This window comes from Homo sapiens, chromosome 4, assembly GCF_000001405.40.
Source record: "Homo sapiens chromosome 4, GRCh38.p14 Primary Assembly".
NCBI lineage: Eukaryota > Metazoa > Chordata > Mammalia > Primates > Hominidae > Homo > Homo sapiens.
In genome coordinates, this window is record NC_000004.12 from 109928998 (window position 1) to 109952095 (window position 23098).

At 39.5% G+C, this 23098-nt stretch overlaps 1 protein-coding gene across 4 annotated transcripts in view; it reads left to right on the forward strand.

Moving 5' to 3' along the window:
- The window catches only part of EGF (epidermal growth factor), a 100884-nt gene that overhangs the window by 16115 nt on the left and 61671 nt on the right, over positions 1-23098 (forward strand). For all 4 annotated transcript variants that reach the window (NM_001963.6, NM_001178130.3, NM_001178131.3 and 1 more), the window contains exons 2-5: positions 11949-12148; positions 14257-14438; positions 14845-15072; positions 16076-16278. In NM_001963.6, coding sequence (NP_001954.2) covers positions 11949-12148; positions 14257-14438; positions 14845-15072; positions 16076-16278 — 813 coding nt within the window. The remainder of the gene's footprint in view (positions 1-11948; positions 12149-14256; positions 14439-14844; positions 15073-16075; positions 16279-23098) is intronic.

The window sequence follows — 23098 nt, forward strand, 5'->3', positions numbered from 1 at the left end:
AGATATAAAATTATTCAGGTGATGTAATTATAGGAATCTATTTAAAGGGACCTGCTTTATAATTAATTATGGAAGATGGATGTAGGGAATCCAGCCTTATGGTGAATATGCCTAGAACAGTGTTTCCTGGTGTGGGTTCCTTGACACAACTGAACTAAAACACACTGAACAATTTCTAGTACATTCAGATAAGCAGTATAGCTTGGTCTTTAAAAGCTAGGGTCTGTGTTGAGAAAGGCATAGCTTTGTACCCCTACCCCGCTATTTATTGGCCTTGTGACTTGTGGCAAGTTAACTGCTTGAAACTTTCCTTTCTTCTTCTGTAAAATAGAGATGTTGAGAGCATTTACCTCCTAGTGTTCTCCAATTGAATGAAATAATGCATTCAATATGCTCCCCCAGAGATAACACACAATATGTTGACTGTAATTATTCTGATGAAATTCACCACCCACCCTGTTAGAGTGTTAGAGTGTGGAATAGCACATTAAAGACTGAGAAGTCCTGTTGAAAACAAAACGAAACAAGTTTCATGTTGCAGAACTTGCTAGTCTCAATTAATATCCTGAGGACCTGGAAAGTAAGCCTCTTCAGTTTACATGTAAATGTGGCTGGGGGTAGGTAGGGGCTGTTTTCTGCTCTGGATGACACATTTCTATCACTACTCTAGGCAATCTTCATTCACAATTTTGGTGAAGCAAAATGAGTTCCAGAGCATTTTTTTAATGGAATTAAGACTTAAATTCAAATCTCCTGGCTCTTCTTTCTGGGTGCATTATTTTTAAATCATCTGGCTTCTCTCTCTCACTTGACCTGAATTTTGACATAGATGAATAAACTGAGAAGAAAGCTGTGAAAAGAAATTTGTGCTTGATATGGTTGGCTGTGTGTCCCCACTCAAATTCCATCTTGAATTGTAATCCCCAGGTGTTGAGGGAGAGACCTGGTGGGAAGTGATTGGATCATGGGGGCGGTTTCCCCAGTGGTGTTCTCCTAATAGTGAGTGAGTTCTCACGAGATCTGATGGTTTTATAAGGGGCTTCACCGCTTTGCTGTCTCTTCTCGCTCCTGCCGCATGTGGAGAAGGTGCTTGCTTCCACTTTGCCTTCCGCCATGATTGTAATTTTCCTGAGGCCTCACCAGCTGTGTGGAGCTGTCAGTCAATTAAACCTCTTTCCTTTGTAAGTTACCCAGTCTTGGGTATTTCTTTATAGCAGTGTGAAAATGGACTAATACAGTGCTCTTTTAAGTACCGTAACTGAAGAGGAGATGAGATAGTTTTTTGGAGTGAATAAAACGTTCTGTACTTCATAAAACCCAAGCTGTCATTTAAGTCAGCACCTGGGGAGTAGTAATAAATGACTCTTCTTAGGGGCTTTCTGTGGGAGCAGTGTGAGGAGGCCTCAGCCTTCCTTATGTAGGTCCATTAGTTTAGAGCCACATTCTTTTCTCATGGTGTCACTGAAGTTTTTGAGGTCCAGAAGCTCCCTTTGCACTCTCTTCATCTTGTGAGCTTTCAGTCTGTCTCTAGATTTAGGGCAAGAAACCTGTGGTGGTGAGGGCAGGTGGCAATGTTCACCTGATAGACAGCTAGGATTTCTTGTTAATCTGGTTGTGGTTATCATTTATGTGTTAACTAGCTCTCATGAGTGTTTGCCCCCAAGGCCTGCAGAAGACAGGTAATGTCTCTTCTCACTTACCTGTGTGGGGCACTCCCTCAGACTCACAGAGGATGAAGGGGTGTGTGTTATAAAATGTTCTGTTTCTGCTTCCTACTTCAAGCAAAGCTTGCTTTTCATCACTGACCTCTGTGTTATGTAGTCATAGTTCTTTGTAGTCACTGATGAACATCTTCAATGTGCTCCAAACATTCTGAACTCCTTTCTAATTCCTGAAGATCCCCTACTAATCCCTAGGTTGAGAAGTCAGAGGTTCTAATTGATTTGCTGTTTGCTGCCTTAAGGTTTGTGTTCCCTAGAAATGATGTTTCATTTTGTATGTACTTCCCCCCTTACTGAACTGCACCCAAAACAAATGTTGTAGGTTTTGACATGGGAAAGCTTTAGCTGTTCAAACATGCACACCTTGCTGACATTCAAATCCACAGACTGTACCACACATCAGTGTTTACAGAGTTCTTGACAGGTCTGAAAAAACATTACCATATTTATCATTTCCATTGGTAGAACAGAATAATGGCAAATGATATACATGTAGTCCTCCATAATTAATAAAATACTTTCACATCTGTAATTATTATTCACAAAGCCTAATTCTCAAAGTGTTTCATTTTCTTTAAAATTATATTTTATTACATTCTTACAAATATAGCCTGGGCTCTGGTTTACATAAAATGATGTTGACAGTGTAGGAAAAATAAACGGTGCTTTGAGGGAATGGAATTACAATTGGCTACGCAAAGAAAATGAAGATTGTAATATCTTGACATGTGACAACCCAGACCAAGGCAGGGTGGAGTTGGAAGTGTACTAGATTGCGAGTGCACTAGATTGCGATTGCAGTACCTGGATTCTAATTCCAAGTCTACCACCTACTAGTGGTGGGACTTTGGGAAACATCATTGAATTTCCTCTTAATTAGATCCATGTTTTCCTGGTTCACCAAGACCTGAGAATCACCTGGAGTGCCTGGTCAAAAAAAAGAAAAAAGAAAAAAGCATAGCCCTCAGCCCAGCCCTGCTGGATTAACTGGAATCTCAAGAGTAGAGTAGGGATCTGCAAAAAATAGGAACATTCACTCACAGAGAGGCACCCTGGGTGATTATTTTAAACAAACAATTTTGGGAAACAATTTGAAAATGTCAAGAGTCTTCCTAGTTGCTAGGATCTGTATGCTATGATTAGCCCTTAGATGGGCAAAATCTGAAGATAAAATGTATTAATTATTTATACTTTGATTTTGTAGTTTTATAACTACTCTATTTTTTTGAAAAGTTACAGAAGTTAGTGCTATAATTTGTGCTTTATGAATTTACAAATTCTTGAGATTTCTCTTTTCCCTTTGACTTATTGGTTTATTGGTTCATGGTGTTATGTTGAGGATAAATGAGGTCAGGATGTAAAAATTTGTTATTATTATTGCTGTTAGTAAGATAACTACCATTGACTAGACCCATCTTTTATTAATTTGATATATCTGTTTCTATGGCTTTGTTCTATTAGTAAAAGCGCAAATAAACAGAACACAATTATTTCTTCATTAGTTTATTGATTTATTCAAAATTTTTGAGTGCCTATTATGTACAGAGGATTGTACTGCATTATGTGGTAAGGAATATTAAAATGTTTAAAGAGCCTTTTCTTTCTCTTTTTTTTTTTTTACATGAAAACCTCCCATTTAGTCATATATATATATATATAAATTTTTTTTTTTTTTTTTGAGACGGAGTCTCGCTCTGTTGCCCAGGCTGGAGTGTAGTGGCATGATCTTGGCTCACTGCAAGCTCCACCACCCGGGTTCACACCATTCTCCTGCCTCAGCCTCCCGAGTATCTGGGACTACAGGCGCTCGCCACCATGCCTGGCTAATTTTTTGTATTTTTAGTAGAGACGGGGTTTCACCGTGTTAGCCAGGAAGGTCTCGATCTCCTGACCTCATGATCCGCCTGCCTGCCTCGGCCTCCCAAAGTGCTGGGATTACAGGCATGAGCCACCGCGCCTGGCCCAATATTTTTTAATAAATAAAATATTTTATTGATCTCACCAATATGTCAATGCATTAGGAAATTAACAATATATATTGGATACATTTATTCAGCATAGACTATAGAGCATGCATGATACACATAGCAGAGAACTCTTAGAAATAAATCTAGATGTCCATGGTAATCTTTGCCCCACGAATTAGTAGCTATGAGTTTAAGGTGTCTCTTCCTAGTGTCTTCTTTTTCTCCATGATGAATTGCTGTATTAGAGACAAGTTATTAGAGACAAGTTATACCAATGTTCCAGTCCCTGGGTTCAAATCCAAGCAGTTGCACAACCTATGTAGTGAAAACTTGTTTCTGGCAAAAAGCAATGGCAAACGATATACATGTAGTCCTCCACAATTAATAAAATACTTTCACATCTATAATTTCATTTTTTTCCCATAATAATCCTCTGATACAGGCAGGGGAGATCCTGTGAGATGTCCAGAGAAGCGAAGCTGGTGGGGTCAGGACTGGAAACCAGGCCTCTGGCTTTCTGTCTAGTGCCCTTTCCCTTTTTCCCAAGATGTCTACGTGATTCTACAACTGCAGTGGAGCATGGGCCCTCGCTATGTGTCTGCATAGCGGGGCTTGTATTGTAGCAAAGATCTGGGAATAATAATTTGAGTGAATTCTCTTAGACATTTATGCTGGCACCTATTTCAAACTCTCATAATCTTACAGTTCTCCCAGCCTCTTGTAGCATTTCTTTTTTTTCTTTTTTTTTTTTTTATACTTTAAGTTCTACAGTACATGTGCACAACGTGCAGGTTTGTTACATAGGTATATATGTGCCATGTTTGTTTGCTGCACCCATCAACTCGTCGTTTACATTAGGTATTTCTCCCAACGCTATCCCTCCACCAGCCCCCCACCTCCCAACAGGCCCCGGTGTGTGATGTTCCCTTCCATGTGTCCATGTGTTCTCATTGTTCAACACCCACTTATGAGTGAGAACATGCGGTGTTTGGTTTTCTGTCCTTATGATAGTTTGCTGAGAATGATGGTTTCCAGCTTCAACCATGTCCCTGCAAAGGACATGAACTCATCCTTTTTTATGGCGGCATAGTATTCCATGGTGTATATGTGCCACATTTTCTTTATGCAGTCTATTATCGATAGACATTTGGGTTGGTTCCAAGTCTTTGCTATTGTGAATAGTGCCACAATAAACATATGTGTGCATATGTCTGTATAGTAGCATGATTTGTAATCCTTTGGGTATATATCCAGTAATGGGATTGCTGGGTCAAATGGTATTTGTAGTTCTAGATCCTTGAGGAATTGCCCCACTGTCTTCCACAATGGTTGAACTAATTTACACTCCCACCAACAGTGTAAAAGTGTTCCTATTTCTCCACATCCTCTCCAACATCTGTTGTTTCCTGACTTTTTAATGATCGCCATTCTAACTGGCGTAAGATGGTATCTCACTGTGGTTTTGATTTGCATTTCTCTGATGACCAGTGATGATGAGCATTTTTTCATGTGTCTGTTGGCTTGTGATTTTTGCACATTGATTTTGTATCCTGAGAGTTTGCTGAAGTTGCCTATCAGCTTAAGGAGATTTTGGGCTAAGACGATGGGGTTTTCTAAATATGCAGTTATGTCATCTGCAAACAGAGACAATTTGACACATACATAAATGTGGTCTCTTAGGAAGTGTCTGTTCATATCCTTCGTCCACTTTTTTATGGGGTTGTTTGGTTTTTTCTTGTAAATTTGTTTAAGTTCTTTGTATATTCTAGATATTAGTCCTTTGTCAGATGGGTAGATTGCAAATATTTTCTCCCATTCTGTAGGTTGCCCGTTCACTCTGATGATAGTTTCTTTTGCTGTGCAGAAGCTCTTTAGTTTAATTAGATCCCATTTGTCTATTTTGGCTTTTGTTGCCATTGCTTTTGGTATTTTAGTCATGAAGTCTTTGCCCATGCCTATGTCCTGAATGGTATTGCCTAGGTTTTCTTCTAGGGTTTTTATGGTTTTAGGTCTTACATTTAAGTCTTTAATCAATCTTGAGTAAATTTTTGTGTAAGGTGTAAGGAAGGGATCCAGTTTCAGCTTTCTCCATATGTCTAGCCAGTTTTCCCAGCACCGTTTATTAAAAAGGGAATCCTTTCCCTATTGCTCGTTTTTGTCAAGCTTGTCAAAGATCAGATGGTTGTAGATGTGTGGTGTTATTTCTGAGGCCTCTGTTCTGTTCCATGGGTCTATATATTTGTTTTGGTACCGGTACCATGCTGTTTTGGTTACTGTAGCCTTGTAGTGTATTTTGAAGTAAGGTAGTGTGATGCCTCCAGCTTTGTTCTTTTTGCTTAGGATTTTCTTGGGTATAGGGGCTCTTTTTTGGTTAGATATGAACTTTAAAGTAGTTTTTTCCAATTCTGTGAAGAAAGTCAGGGGTAGCTTGATGGGGATAGCATTGAATTTATAAATTACTTTGGCAGTATGGCCATTTTCACGATATTGATTCTTCCTATCCATGAGCATGGAATGTTCTTCCATTTGTTTGTGTCCTCTTTTACTTCCTTGAGCAGTGGTTTGTAGTTCTCCTTGAAGAGGTTCTTCACATCCCTTATAAGTTGGATTCCTAGGTATTTTATTATCTTTGTAGTAATTGTGAATGGGAGTTCACTCATGATTTGGCTGTCTGTTATTGGTATATAGGAATGCTTGTGATTTTTGCACATTGATTTTGTATCCTGAGAGTTTGCTGAAGTTGCCTATCAGCTTAAGGAGATTTTGGGCTGAGACGATGGGGTTTTCTAGGTATACAATCATGTCATCTGCAAACAGAGACAATTTGACGTCCCTTTTTCCTAATTGAATACCCTTTATTTCTTCCTCTTGCCTGATTGCCCTGGCCAGAACTTCCAATACTATGTTGAATAGGAGTGGTGAGAGAGGGCATCCTTGTCTTATACCAGTGTTCAAAGGGAATGCTTCCTGTTTTCGCCCATTCAGTATGATATTGATTGTGGGTTTGTCATAAGTAGCTTTTATTATTTTGAGATACGTTCCATCAATACCAAGAGTTTTTAGCATGTAAGGGTGTTGAATTTTATCGAAGGCGTTTTCTGCATCTATTGAGATAATCGTGTGGTTTTTGTCGTTGGTTCTGTTTATGTGATGGATTATGTTTATTGATTTGCGTATGTTGAACCAGTCTTGCATCCCAGGGGTGAAGCCAACTCGGTCGTGGTGGATAAGCTTTTTGATGTGTTGCTGGATCCGGTTTGCCAGTGTTTTATTGAGGATTTTCATGTCAATGTTCATCAGGGATATTGGCCTAAAATTCTCTTTTTTTTGTTGTGTCTCTGCCAGGCTTTGATATCAGGATGATGCTGGCCTCATAAAATGAGTTAGGGAAGATTCTCTCTTTTTCTATTGATTGGAATAGTTTCAGAAGGAATGATACCAGCTCCTCTTTGTACCTCTGGTAGAATTCGACTGTGAATCCGTCTGGTCCTGGAATTTTTATGGTTGGTAAGCTATTAATTATTGCCTCAATTTCAGAGCCTGTTATTGGTCTATTCAGAGATTCAACTTCTTCCTGGTTTAGTCTTGGGAGGGGGTATGTGTCCAGGAATTTATCCCTTTCTTCCAGATTTTGTAGTTTATTTGCATAGAGGTGTTTATAGTATTCTCTAACGGTAGTTTGTATTTCTGTGGGATCGGTGGTGATATCCCCTTTATTATTTTTTATTGTGTCTATTTGATTCTTCTCTCTTTTCTTCCTTATTAGTCTGGCTAGCAGTCTATTTTGTTAATCTTTTCAAAAAAACGAGTTCCTGGATTCATTAATTTTTTGAAGAGTTTTTCATATCTCTATCTCCTTCAGTTCTGCTCTGATCTTAGTTATTTCTTGTCTTCTAACTTTTGAATTTGTTTGCTCTTGCTTCACTAGTTCTTTTAATTGTTATGTTAAGGTGTCGATTTTGGATATTTCTTGCTTTCTCCTGTGGGCATTTAGTGTATACATTTCCGTATAAACACTGCTTTAGCTGTGTCTCAGAGATTCTGGTACATTGTGTCTTTGTTCTCATTGGTTTCCAATAACTTATTTATTTCTCCCTTAATTTCGTTATTTACCCAGTAGTCATTCAGGAGAAGGTTGCTCAGTTTCCATGTAGTTGTGGGGTTTTGAGTGAGTTTCTTAATCCTGAGTTCCAATTTGATTGGACTGTGGTCTGAGAGACTGTTACAATTTCTGTTCTTTTGCATTTGCTGAGGAGTGTTTTACTTCCAATTACGTGTTCAATTTTAGAATAAGTGTGATGTGATGCTGAGAAGAATGTGTATTCTGTTGATTTGGGGTGGAGAGTTCTGTAGATGTCTATTAGGTCTGCTTGGTCCAGAGCTGAGTTCAAGTCTTGAATATCCTTGTTAATTTTCTTTCTCGTTGGTCTAATATTGACAGTGGGGTGTTATTGTCTCCCACTTTTATTGTGTGGGAGTCTAAGTCTCTTTGTAGGTCTCTAAGAACTTGCTTTATGAATCTGGGTGCTCCTGTATTGGGTGTACATATAATTAGGCTACTTAGTTCTTCTTGCTGCATTGATCCCTTTACCATTATGTAATGGTCTTCTTTGTCTCTTTTGATCTTTGTTTCTCTAAAGTCTGTTTATCAAAGACCAGGATTGCAATCCCTGCTTTTTTTTTTTTTTTGCTTTCCATTAGCTTGGTAGATCTTCCTCCATCCCTTTATTTTGAGCCTATGTGAGTCTTTGCACATGAGATGGGCCTCCTGAAACCAGCACACTGATGGTCTTGACTCTTTATCCAATTTGCCAGTCTGTGTCTTTTAATTGGGGCATTTAGCCCATTTACATTTAAGGTTAATATTGTTATATGTGAATTTGATCCTGTCATTATGGTGCTAGCTGGTTTCTTCATAGCGTCCATGGTCTTTACCATTTGACATGTTTTTGCAGTGGCTGGTACCGGTTCTTCCTTTCCATATTTAGTGCTTCTTTCGGGAGCTCTTGTAAGGCAGGCCTGGTGGTGACAAAATCTCTCAGCATTTGCTTGTCTTTAAAGGATTTTATTTCTCCTTCACTTATGAAGCTTAGTTTGTCTGGATATGAAATTTTGGGTTGAAAATTCTTTTCTTTAAGAATGTTGAATATTGGCCCCCACTCTCTTCTGGCTGTAGGATTTCTGCAGAGAGATCTGCTGTTAGTCTGATGGGCTTCCCTTTGTGGGTAACTCGACCTTTCTCTCTGGCTGCCCTTAACATTTTTTCCTTCATTTCAACCTTGGTGAATCTGAAAATTATGTGTCTTGGGGTTGCTCTTCTCGAGGAGTATCTTTGGGGGTGTTCTCTGTATTTCCTGAATTTGAATGTTGGCCTGCCTTGCTAGGTTGGAGATATTCTCCTGGATAATATGCCGAAGAGTGTTTTCTAACTTGGTTCCATTCTCCCCGTCACTTTCAGGTACACCAATCAAATGTAGATTTGGTCTTTTCACATAGTTCCATATTTCTTTGAGGCTTTGTTTGTTTCTTTTCACTCTTTTTTCTCTAATCTTGTCTTCTTGCTTTATTTCATTAATTTGATCTTCAATTGCTGACATCCTTTCTTCCGCTCGATTGAATTGACTATTGAAGCTTGTGCATGTGTCACGAAGTTCCTGTGCTGTGGTTTTCAGCTACATCAGGTCATTTAAGCTCTTCTCTACACTGTTGATTCTAGTTATCCATTTGTCTCACCTTTTTTCAAGGTTTTTAGCTTCCTTGCGATGGGTTAGAACATGCTCCTTTAGCTCGGAGAAGTTTGTTATTACTGATCTTCTGAAGCCTACTTCTGTCACCTTGTCAAACTCATTCTTTGTCCAGTTTTGTTCCCTTGCTGGCAAGGAATTGTGTTCCTTTGGAAAAGAAGAGGCAATCTGGTTTTTGGAATTTTCAGCCTTTTTGCTCTGGTTTCTTCCCATCTTAGCGGTTTTATCTACCTTTGGTCTTTGATGCTGGTGACCTACGGATGGGGTTTTGATGTGGATGTCTTTTCTGTTGATGTTGATGCTATTCATTTCTGTTTGTTAGTTTTCCTTCTAACAGACAGGCCACTCAGCTGCAGATCTGTTGGAGTTTGCTGGAGGTCCACTTTAGACCTTGTTTGCCTGGGTATCACCAGTGGAGGCTACAGAAGAGCAAATATTGCTGCCTGATTCTTCCTCTGGAAGCTTTGTCCCAGAGGGGCACTTGCCTGTATGAGGTGTCTGTTGGCCCCTACTAGGAGGTGTCTCCCAGTGAGGCTACACAGGCTCAGGGACCCACTTGAGGAGGCAGTGTGTCTGTTAATGGATCTCAAACGCTGTGCTGGGAGAACCACTGCTCTCTTCAGAGTTGTCAGGCAGGGATGTTTAAGTCTGTAGAAGCTGTCTGCTGCCTTTTGTTCAGATATGCCCTGCCTCCAGAGGTGGAATCTAAAGGGGCAGTAGGCCTTGTTGAGCTGCGTTGGGCTCTGCCCAGTTCGAGCTTCCCTGCCTCTTTGTTTACACTGTGAGCATAGCACTACCTACTCAAGCCTCAGCAATGGTGGCATCCCTCCCTCCACCAAGCTTTAGCATCCCAGATCGATCTCAGACTGCTGCGCTAGCAGTGAGCAAGGCTCCATGGGTATGGGACCAGCTGAGCCAGGCAGGGGAGGGAACATCCGGGCCTGCTGGTTGCAAAGACCGTGGGAAAAGCGCAGTATTTGGACAAAAGTGTACAGTTCCTCCAGTTACAGGCACTCACAACTTCCCTTGGCTAGGAAAGGGAAATCCCCTGACCCCTTGCACTTCCCACATGAGGCAACACCCCACCCTGCTTCGGCTGGCCCTCCGTGGGCTGCACCCACTGTCCAACCAGTCCCAGTGGGATGAACCAGGTACCTCAGTTGGAAATGCAGAAATCACCCATCTTCTGTGTCAATCTTGCTGGGAGCTGTAGACCTGAGTTGTTCCTATTCGGCCATCTTGGAAGCGCCAACCCTCTTGTAGCTTTAATTCAACGTACTCTCCAAAGTGGAGTTAGTGTTTTCTGACTCTAGAACATAGTCCCTGAGTAAAAGGATGTTAACCCATCATTTTGTTCAATGCTTACAATAAACACATTTATTAAGTCATATTAAAGTATTACTTTTGATGATAAAACAGAATGGAGTAAGCCCAGCACAGAAGCAAGAATATGTTAGAATTCCCCTCCATTCCCCACTTACCCCAGTGATTCTGTCATTTTCTAAAGGCAGAGTGGCCCAAGCCTCCTCACACTTGGTCAAGAGAGAGAGACCAAGAAAACTAACTTGACTTGATGTAACTAATTTCATCCTCTGGTGTCATCTCAGAGCATCACAGGCAAGCTGTGTGTGGAGTCTGTCAGTAATTAGTGGTGAGGTTTCCCAAGAAGGGATCAGGTTCCCAAGTAGATATTGAATATTGGGGCATCAGAGTTGGTAGGTGGCCATCACCTAGAACAGGAGAGGACCCCAGGTACAGGATTAGGGTACCAAGCAAGGCCCTACAGGCACCAAGAAATCTAGTGAGGTTTGCCACCCAGATTTAGCAAATAAAAATGCAAAGTGCCCAGTCAAATTTGAATTTCAGGTAAATAGAGAACAAATTTTTAGTGTATGTCCCATGCAATATATGTGGAATTCAAATTTATTTGGGCATCCTGTATTTATGTGGTAAAGATAACAGGGTCAAAATATTTCAGAACCTTTACAGGATTCTGAAATTGAAACAGCATTTCAATTTTTCCTGCTTCCGTCTAAGACCTTTTAGTTTTCACCGTCGTCTTCTAGGTCATTATGCTGAAGGCTCTGGTCATAGGTAAGACCCAAGGAGTCCATTTCCAAAATGATAATATCTGTAATTTTAGTTCTAATTTACATAATTAAAATTTACACTTATATAAATCCTTTCCACAATAGAATATGATGGGTGGTTCCTTTTTGAACATAAAAAGGTATTTTATGGATAAAGAGTAAAAAGTGTCTTTCTCTTCAGAGAGTTCATTTTTCATAATTTACCAATGTTCATGTCTTATAATCAGTTTGTGGAGAAGACAATTTACAAAGTGGAGTGTGAATATCTACAGGAACTCTTTATTGTCTATAAATAGACTTTATTTTAAACAGAAAACCAGTAATTAAAAATTATTTCTGCTTGTGTTGGTTGTCATTGGGAAGTATTTTGTTTAAATGAGATAAAATATTAAAAGTATACAGTTTGGTCTCTTTCTTCCCACCCAGGTCCTGCACCCTTCTTAATTTTCTCCCATGGAAATAGTATCTTTAGGATTGACACAGAAGGAACCAATTATGAGCAATTGGTGGTGGATGCTGGTGTCTCAGTGATCATGGATTTTCATTATAATGAGAAAAGAATCTATTGGGTGGATTTAGAAAGACAACTTTTGCAAAGAGTTTTTCTGAATGGGTCAAGGCAAGAGGTAAAATACCCTTACCTACAGTGTTTGAGCTGTTTTTGTACAGGCTGACAAATATAATATACTGAATTCTTAATGTATAGATAAATGAAAATTATATAACAGTTCAAATGCGTGTCTGCCAAATATAGGCATTTATTTAATCTACATCTGTGGTGTATATTCTTGAATAAATTCACACATTGATATTTAGAAGCCCCAAAATGAGAAAGTGAGGATATGAATGTAATTTTGAAAATATCTGAGTTTATTAAGTCAGATCACCATTTTATGATTAAGATAGATTATTTGCATGATTATTTCTTGCTATTTGTAAGGTACCCCAGTAGCTCTCAGGTGGGGGGCAATTTTTCCCTGAGGGAACAATTGGCAGTGTCTGGAAACATTTTTGGTTGTCACAAGTAGGTGAGGTAGGAAGGTGGAGACGATACAGGCATCTAGTGGGTAGAGGCCTGGGATGCTGCAAAACATCTTACACTGTGCAGAACAGCCCCAGAATAAAGAATTGTCCAGCCCCAAATGTCAATAGTGCTGAAGTTGAGAGACCCTGTTTTATCTGTATAAAATCTCCGTCATGGGTTTTGGCACCTGACACGTAGAAAGAAAAATTTTCTTCTTTTTATTCTCACAGAGCTTGCACTCCGCAAAAAAAATAATATAGCAGATGACAGATAAGTACTTTACTTCATGTACATACAAAAGATCCTTAATCTTTCTTTTTAGCTGGTAGAACCCTTACATGAGTCCCAGGAGGAATGTTTCTCTCAATTTGGTGATGGATTACAAAGAGCACATGACTAGAGAAACTTTAAGAGTTGATTCTCAATGCAAAGTCCACACTATTTTTTGTTTTTTAGCCAAATATTTCTCTTTCCAGTTATTCTTAAAAGCTTCAATTAGGTGCTAATCTGTTTTATCACATCTCCAATACTTGCTAATCTCACTTTTAACAAGGATGGCTACTCATTATCCTCCAGACATCTGGTAGTATAGTTTCAAACTCTTGAGTCTAAGAATCTGAAGGGTTTCCTATCAAGAACATGGAAAAACTTAAAATAGTTGTGAATTTATATCAAGCCATTAGGAAAGGATCAGCCTGTTGCCTAAAATTCCATCCTTATATTCCTTCCTTTGGGTTAAAACCTTGTTTATAAAGGACAACTGTTAAAATTCAAACAATTTACCTGGGTGAGCTAATTTATGAATGGATTGGGTTGGTGCAAAGGTAATTGCAGTTTTGGCCATTATTTTCAATGGTAAAATAAGTTGGCTAGATTTCTTTGTATGAAATGTAGAAATAGCACAGGCTTATGAGATTATGCAATTTCAGCCCAACTCTGATTTCAGTGATGTCACCTGGGTAGCTGGACGTCTGCCATGGTTGAATATTTACACCATGAAAATCTTTAACAGTACAAATTGGGGCTTCTGCCCACCTTGCAACCTCCATTCCCCAAGAAGACCAGCTTACCTGCCCGTGGCTGAAATTAAGATATGAAAAGTTCTGGTTGGGCATTTTTATCATGAAAGAGTTGGGAATACAGCCAAAGGTGCCTAAAAAGACACTCTGCTACTCTGGTCACAGTGTGACGGCATGAAGGACTATAGAAAGGAAGGGGCCTATTGGAGGAGGAGGGCCAGAAGAATAAAGGCCACAATGAGAAATTCATCGAGTTCATGTCTGTAAGCTCAGACTCCAAGGAAATCTTGCATAGCTTGGAATTGAGTTCAGTTGAAGATCTGGAAATTTCCATTAGCAAATGGAACTGAATAAGCTGTCTGTATGGTTGCATCAAAATTTCACCATTACTATAGTTGAAATGATCAATACATTATGGTTGGCTTCCTAATTTAAATAGTGTGTAGGATAATTTTTAGTTTCAAAGCTATAAATACTATTTCCAGAAATATTTACTTAAGGGTCAGAGGAGGTAAATGCTGCATCAAAACAAAGGCACCGTATCTGTGACTATTTTATTATTTAAACAATTTTGGAACTGCATAAAGATGACAAATACTTAAAAGAATAGACTTTTTATATATAACAATTAAAATAATTTTGTTGTGAATGGGGGAAGTATTAATAACAATTTTAAAATTTGATTTTGCAGAGAGTATGTAATATAGAGAAAAATGTTTCTGGAATGGCAATAAATTGGATAAATGAAGAAGTTATTTGGTCAAATCAACAGGAAGGAATCATTACAGTAACAGATATGAAAGGAAATAATTCCCACATTCTTTTAAGTGCTTTAAAATATCCTGCAAATGTAGCAGTTGATCCAGTAGAAAGGTAAATTCTGCTGTATTCAGACATTGAAATATATTTACAAATCTAGTGAAGATTGATAGAATTATAACATTGTAAATTCAAAGGGATCCTCTCACTGAGACCAAAGCCCTCTTTTGCAGCACACAGGCACCGTTTTCTATAGGACAGTTGCCTGCATTTCAACTGAGACAGGATCCCCCCATAAATATTCCTAACTATCATGGTTTTCTGCTATAGAGGCATAATTCCCTTTCTAACTTGAAATCACTTGTAATGTCTACAATAGGGCAGTGTTTACTTGTTGAATAAATTTTCATTCAAAATAGTCAAACTTGCCCTGTGAAGGAGCTGCTGAAACATTGAGAGAGTTGGCCATTTAAGGCACTATACATTCATTTTTGGGTCTATGTAATGTGTTTGCCCTCAGGTTTATATTTTGGTCTTCAGAGGTGGCTGGAAGCCTTTATAGAGCAGATCTCGATGGTGTGGGAGTGAAGGCTCTGTTGGAGACATCAGAGAAAATAACAGCTGTGTCATTGGATGTGCTTGATAAGCGGCTGTTTTGGATTCAGTACAACAGAGAAGGAAGCAATTCTCTTATTTGCTCCTGTGATTATGATGGAGGTTCTGTCCACATTAGTAAACATCCAACACAGTAAGTTTTACTCTTGGTATAAAATAAAACAATTGTCATTTGAAGTCCACAAGATAAATTAATTTTACTTTTGTCAATGGAACTGGTATAGTGGTTTAGGCCATAGATTTTGAATCCAAAAGACTTGAGTTTGGCCGGGCGCGGCGGATCACGAGGTCAGGAGATCGAGACCATCCTGGCTAACACGGTGAAACCCCGTCTCTACTAAAAATACAAAAAATTAGCCGGGCGTGGTGGCGAGCACCTGTAGTCCCAGCTATTCGGGAGGCTGAGGCAGGAGAATGGCGAGAACCCGGGAGGCGGAGCTTGCAGTGAGCCGATATCGTGCCACTGCACTCCAGCCTGGGCGACAGAGCGAGACTCCGTCTCAAGAAAAAGACTTGAGTTCAAGCTCCAGATTTACCGTCTGTTAGATGAGTGACTTTGAGTAGGTTCTATAACTTCTCTTATCCTCAGTTTCCTTTAACGTGAGGATAATCATAATATCAGTCTCTTGGGATTATTGTGAAGGGAAAGTAAATGAATACAAACAAAAATAATTAACAGAGTATTTGGCACATAATAAGTTCTCACATGTTGACCATAATTATTCTTTTTGGAATTATGATGTTACATATTTTTATCTTTCATTGATTTGCTATCATGCCAGCAACTGACTTTCCAGCTTTGTGGCAAGAAGCAGAAATTCGTCATGTGAAATTGATGTCACTAGAAACCCACTCTTACTCTGTTCCTATTTTCTTCCCCATTTTCATCACACTTATTGGATGACTAAAAGAAGAATGAGACAATGGATCTGGAGCTAGAAATTATATCTTATTAGCTCAGAGTATGAGGAGATAAATAAAATTTTAAACTTAATATACTTTTCTAAACATAAATGAGAAACAATTGAAAACGTAGGTGGTTAAAACTTAGACAATAAATTGAAATGAAGTGAAATTCTAATAAGACAAGGAACAAATGTTCTGTTGTTCTTTTTTCTTTTGTGGTTGCTTTTTAGGCATAATTTGTTTGCAATGTCCCTTTTTGGTGACCGTATCTTCTATTCAACATGGAAAATGAAGACAATTTGGATAGCCAACAAACACACTGGAAAGGACATGGTTAGAATTAACCTCCATTCATCATTTGTACCACTTGGTGAACTGAAAGTAGTGCATCCACTTGCACAACCCAAGGCAGAAGATGACACTTGGGAGCCTGGTGAGTCATCGTTGACCTTGCGCAGGGCCTGACACATAGTTCCCACCCATTCACCTGCTTGAGCCAGACAATGAGGCGTTGTAGGGGAAAAAAAATTTTTTTCTTCAACCCTCATATATTCTTAGTCATAATAGACCCCTGTAAGAAAAGACAGATTAACAAGAAAAAAACAAATAGAAGGCCAGGCATGGTGGCTCACACTTGTAATCTCCACATTTTGGAAGGCTGAGGTGGGAGGATTGCTTGAGGCCAGGAGTTTGAGACCAGCCTGGACAACATAACAAGGCTCGGTCTCTACAAAAACGAAAGAAAGAAAGAAAGAAAAACAAATAGAAATGGATTAACATGTACATTTTATATATACATGGGAGAAATCCGGGGAATGAATAGCTCTCAAAGAGGTGGCTTTAAATGCCAGTTTATATAGTATCTTTAATAAAGAACAGTAAATTTTTAGAGAAGTGACAAGACAGAGGAAAAGGACTTTGAGTTTCTATGAGTAGCAACTTGGGGGAAGGCAAATAAATGGCAGATAAATGCTAGTTAATAAAGTTTGTTAATGTAGGTACCTCTGCAGCCATTGCCAGGCCGTAAGGATCTAAAGTTGTCTTCAGTGGTTAACTTTTGTTATTCTTGGTAGAGAGGGGGTACCTATTGTCTTTGTAAATCTATGTCTTGCGTTTAGGCAAATAGAGCTTTTCTGCATCTCTTTCTTTTTAATTGTTTGAAGCTCAACAATCCTTCCCATTTTGGAGTGGCATATTCTGGGATCTTACAGGGCCATCTTCAATTTTTCCCACTGTCTCACCCCCAGTTTCTAATCCAACACCGAATCCATTCCATTCTACCTTCTAAATACATTTCAAATGTCCACTTCTCTTCTCTATTGCCACTGCCATAGTCTAAGCAGACAGGTACGTTTTGTTTGGCCTACTATAGTAGCCACTCAACTGATCCTTCTGTTTTCTGAATCTGATCCATTCACTCCCCTACATAAAATCCTTCAAAAGCTTTTCTTTGCACTTAGGTTGAAGTTCAGCATTTTACCAGTCTCATCAATATTTGACCAACCTGCTCTAGTGATCTCTGCCCTCACTAAAATTTAGTGCAAGTCTTGCTATAACTCCTCAAACATGCTAATCTCCTTCATTCCTTTAGGGTTTTGCAGTCTCTCTTCCTTGGCTTAGACTTCTCTTCAGTTCTGAGCTTAAATGTCATGTGCTCAGATAGGTCTTCTGTGATAAGCCAATCAAAATAGGCCCCTTCACCTCTTACTTTTTTCACAGTACACCTTTCATTGAGCTCATCACGAGGTGTAACTACATACTCATTTGCTTTCTTTTTGGATTCTCTCTCCCATTTGATTGTAAGTGCCATACAGGTAGAAACCATGTCTATTTTGTTTGTTTTTTTAGCCACCATATATACAGTAGATATTTATAAATAAATTAATTTTAGATGGTAAATGTTAGTAAAAAGAATGAGTGATTGACTGAATCTAGTCACAGTCCCAAATTTCCACTTCTAAATGTAGTCTTCTCTGAATTCTTTAGCATGTAATTGTTTTTAAAAAGTTGTCAGGCCTGTAATCCCAGCACTTTGGGAGGCCGAGGTAGATAGATCCCTTGAGGTCAGGAGTTCGAGACCAGTCTGGCCAACATGGCAAAACCCTGTCTCTACTAAAAATACAAAAATTAGCCGGGCATGGTGGCGCATGTCTGTAGTCCCAGCTATTCGGGAGGCTGAGGCAGGAGGATCACTTGAACCCAGGAGGCAGAGGCCACAGTGAGCCAAGATCGTTCCACTGCACTCCAGACTGGGTGACAGATTGAGACTCTGTCTCAAATTAAAATTAAAAAAAAAAAGTTGTTAGGTTTTTATGAAATACCACAAGGGGCCTACAGAAAAAAAGTTGTCAGGTTTTTAAAAATTTGTTATAATCGTTAGGCTGCTCAATGTACCTCATAAATGATGTGACACTAACATCTCACCTTTATGTAAAAGTTTTATTTCAAGAAGGTTTTAAAATATATTTAATGTTAGCCTTAAATAGCCCTCTGAAGTGCAGAAACAGAGATAGAATTGTTTATATCTTCTACTTTCTTTTTTTTTTTTTTAAGATGGAGTCTTGCTCTGTCACCCAGGCTGGAGTGCCGTGGCACAATCTCACTTGAATTCACAAAGCAAAAGTTGTGGGAAACAGTTCAACTCTGGGTTCTAGCACCACATTAAATAGCAACAACCTAGTGGTAATGCTATAAAGTAGATGGGTGAACCCATAATGGTAGTGTAGATAGTCTACATATAAAGGTAGTGAATCTGATACACTGCCACATACCTTCCATGGGAAATTTCAACTCAAGCTGTCTTCACATACAACTCATTGTCTGAGTGGTGATGACTCACAACAAAATCATAACCAAGGGCCATTATGAATAAGTATTTACTGAGTCCCATTCATAATAATTAGAGATATGTCTGCCATCATCATAACCCTCTCTTACATTTATATGTAACCTCAGAATTTTCAAAGTGTTTTCATGGGCTTTAGTTTATCGGTTTGTCACAGCAATGTTGTGAGACAGGAAGGGTAGGAATAATTGTACTTAATTCATCATTGAGAAACCTGAAGAAATAGAGCACCTTTTCCATGATCACATAGCTAGTTAATGATGAATGTGGGGGAAAATTTCCTATCATCAATCTCTCAGTTTAGTATTCTTCCTACCATAAATGTATTGTCTCTTCAGAGCCCCTCACTACTCAGCTTCTGTGACAGGAAGTTCAAATAGGATAACTGAAAGCATGAATTTCGGAAGAAAATCTACAATGATTCACTAAAGTGCAGCCCCAAACAATGTGGCAAGTAATAGAATTGGCTGGAAAGCCTCTGCCAGCTGCAGAGCCACAGACAAATCTGGAACCTGGAAGACAGTTGGCATTGGAGATTGGCTCCAGTTACTGACCAAAGGATGCACTTCACACATACTCCACAGGCAAAGGACTTTTGATTTCAGGGGCACTGCTACTTTGCCCATTATTGATTAGGTTTAAATTGTTTTAGTGTCTTAGAAAGCAGGAGCTCTTTACCTGTGATGTAGGGCCTGTGGATCTCTTGATTTTATGGGTTAGATGAAAATATGCACTGTTCCACCTAGGGAGATGGTATATAAATTTTATTGGGTTTTCAATGTGTTTGACATCCTTCGGATTTTTTTTTGGGGGGGTGGATGAAGTCTGGCTCTGTTGCCCAGGCTGGAGTGCAATGTGCGATCTCGGCTCACTGCAACCTCCATTTCCTGACATCAAGCAATCCTCCTGCCTCAGCCTCCCAAGTAGCTGGGATTACAGGTGTGCATCATCACACCTGGCTAATTTTGTTGTGTTTTTGGTAGAGGTGGGGTTTCACCATATTACCCAGGCTGGTCTCAAACTCCTGAGCTCAAGCGATCTGCCTGCCTCAGCCTCCCAAAGTGCTGGGATTACAGGCATGAGCCACTGTGCCCAGCCCATCCTTCAGATGTAAAGACATACTTCTCTAGAGGCTGGTTAGTTCCTCATGGATATTATGCCTAAATTGCAGCTCCTCTGGTGATCTGGAAAGTGGTACTTTGCTTTACAAAGCATTTAGTAGTGAAACTACTTCAATGAAGAAATAACAGAAAAATCATATAATCTGGTTGATATTATTTTTGTTATAAAATATAAATATTTATACAAATATGAGTATCAATAAACTTACTTCTTGCAAAATGCCTAAGCTATCATTTATCAAAGCATGCTCTACAAAACTCTAGTTCTTTTTTTTTGAGATGGAGTCTCGCTCTATCGCCGAGGCTGGAGTGCAGTGGCGTAATCTCAGCTCACTGCAACCTCCGCCTCCTGGGTTTTAAGCAATTCTCTCTGCCTCAGCCTCCTGAGTCACTGGGATTACAGGCACCCACCACCATGCCCAGCTAATTTGTATTTTTAGTAGAGACAGGGTTTCCCGATATTGGCCAGGCTGGTCTTAAACTCTTGACCTCAGGTGATCCACCTGCCTCAGCCTCCCAAAGTGCTGGGATTACAGGCTTGAGCCGCCGTGCCTGGCCTCAAAACTCTAGTTCTATGGGATTTAATGAGGTTACTTAGGGGAAAAAACCTTTCGGGGCCAAGTGATTTAGAGATGATGTGTTCAATAAAGTTGAATGAGTTTTTTCTTGAGTGGAATTTCTCAGAACTATTCATATGGTTGTGTGCATCATTACTCTCTAAAGGTGACACAACCCATGTCATTTTTCTGTTTTATTTCCTATGCAGCAGCCCACAGGACTCTTGAATCTATTATTTGTAGTTCAGACCTCTTTTTTTTTTTTTTGAGCTCTAGACAAATTTTTTTAAAAAAAGGACTCAGGCATAATGAGCGTCAAGCTGCAAAGATCTGCTATAGAGTTAAACTACAGAGATAATTGACTTAAAACATGGGAATTTATTCATAATATACAAAAAGGAGCAGCTCTGGTGAAGACTGTCTGGCCAAGGCAAGGGAGGGGCTTACAAAGGCAAAGCCCCAGAGCTTCACATGGAAGATTGATTTGTTGGTTTGAACAAGTCCTTGCCTTGTAGATTCAGGTTGTCTGGTTCTGGAGGAGCTTCATGCTGCAGATATGTCTGCATGCTGCGCCCCAAGTCAAAGTAATAGAGCCACAGTTTCACCATCAGGCCATTTTCTGATGATCTGACCAGTTTCCTGAAGAGCAGTTGCCCTGGTCCTTCTTCTGGGCCTTGCTTGCTTGCTGTCTGTACCTTCCAAGCTCCGGGTCCTGTAGTGGGCACATAAAATGCATGTGTTTGGGCTCAGTAAAAATATCCTTTTCAAGGCCCTTATAGTTATCTGCCTTGTAAGCATGTCTACTTGGATTTCTTGCAAGTGTTTCAGGCTCAAAGAAAATAACTAACCTACCAACTTTCACCTCCCTCTTCCCCAGCTCCTCTCCCTCTAGTGTCATCAGCCCAATGAATGGCATCACTCTCTACCGCATCTCCCAAAGCGGAAACCGAGGAGTTGCCTGTTCCTTCATCTTCCTCACTCTCATCCCATGAAATCAGTCTCTGCATCCCAACAATTCTACTCCTTATGATCTAACCACTCTGCCCTTCCTGCAGGTTTCTCTCTCCAGCATCCTCCTGACTAGTATCCCTGTCTCCATTTTCTCTGCTGCAGGGAGCATAATCCCTCAAAAAAGAAGGCCCAGTCATGTCACTCTTTGATTAAAATCCACTGAGAATTCCTAATCATCAGTAATTAAAGTGAAGTCTCTTCCTTGGGCTCACCAAGGCTTCTGCTCATTTCTCAGCTTCTTCTCTCACCCTTGTTTATATTACATTCTCTGTTGCAACCATTCTCAAAGATGACTTTCCTTTCATGAGGCACACTTGCTCTCTCCTGCAGCCCAGTCTGCATGCTCAGGAACTTGCCACCTCCGTCCCTTCACCAGCTGTCTCTCCTCATCCTCTGAGAAACAGCTCCAACATGACTTCCTTCAGGAACACCTTCCTTGATCTACTGTGAGCCTAAGTTAGCTGTTCCAGAGAAGGTATTCTCAGGGAATGTGTTCTCAGAGAATTTCCCTAATCATATGACACCATGCTTAGCTGGAGTTGTCTGTCTTTTTATATTCCTTAGTCCTTAGAGGACAGAGAATACAACTTTCCATTGCATTCCCAATGCCTAAACGACTTTAAGAAACAAGAGTTGAAAAAACAAGCAAGCCAGGCACGGTGGCTCACACCTGTAATCCCAGCACCTTGGGAGGCCAAGGCGGGTGGATCACTTGAGGTCAGGAGTTCAAGGCCAGCCTGGCCAACATGGTGAAACCCTGTCTCTACTAAAAAATAAAATAAAATAAAATAAAATAAAATAAAATAAAATAAAATAAAATAAAATGCAAAAATTAACTGGGTGTGGTGGTGTCTGCCTGTAATCCCAGCTATTTGGGAGGCTGAGACAGGAGAACCACTTGAACTCAAGGGGCAGAGGTTTCAGTGAGCCAAGATCAGGCCACTGCACTGTAGTCTGGGCAACAGAGCAAGACTCCGTCTCAAACCCCACCCCCCACAAAAAAACCAAGTGAAAAAAAATTCTTTGGCACTCTATCTCCTAAATAATATAATAAGGAATAAGTTTTAAAGATACATAATATCTGAGTACATAGGTTTTTTTGTTGTTGTTTGTTTGTTTCAGTTAGAATTTGAAATAACCCATCTAAGTACATGCAGCTTCTTGGCTCACAGAGATGCCATAATTATTGCATGGGTACAAAATTATCTGTTCTTGTGATAATTTAAGGGCTTTCCTTATAATATCTCACTTAATCTTTACAACAGCTCTATTAATTAAGTGTGATAATTAGTGTAATATTATAAATTAAAAGTTCTGAGGTTTAGAGATGTCACAGTACCCTGTTGAAGGTCACAGGGTGGTAGAATTGGGATTTGAAACCAGACAGACTGGTAACATGCTGCCTCTCCAAATACACTCTATTATCTATCATTTCATATTTTAGATGTACCTTATTTGTTTTGAGAAGCCTGTAATTCAGCATATCATTATTTATCCATGGCCTTCTGGTAGTTAAGTGCTTCAGTTTGCACAGATCATGGAGTCAAAACCCTATTTCTCTCTCTCTTTTTACATTTTTCTTTAATGTTTTTTTTCAATTTCAGAAACTTAAAATCTTTCTCTTTCTCTCTTACTTCTCCCCGGCTGTCCGAAAACAGGCACAGAATGAATCTCACATTTTTTGTTGGCATGATTAAACTTATTAGCCAGATATCCTGG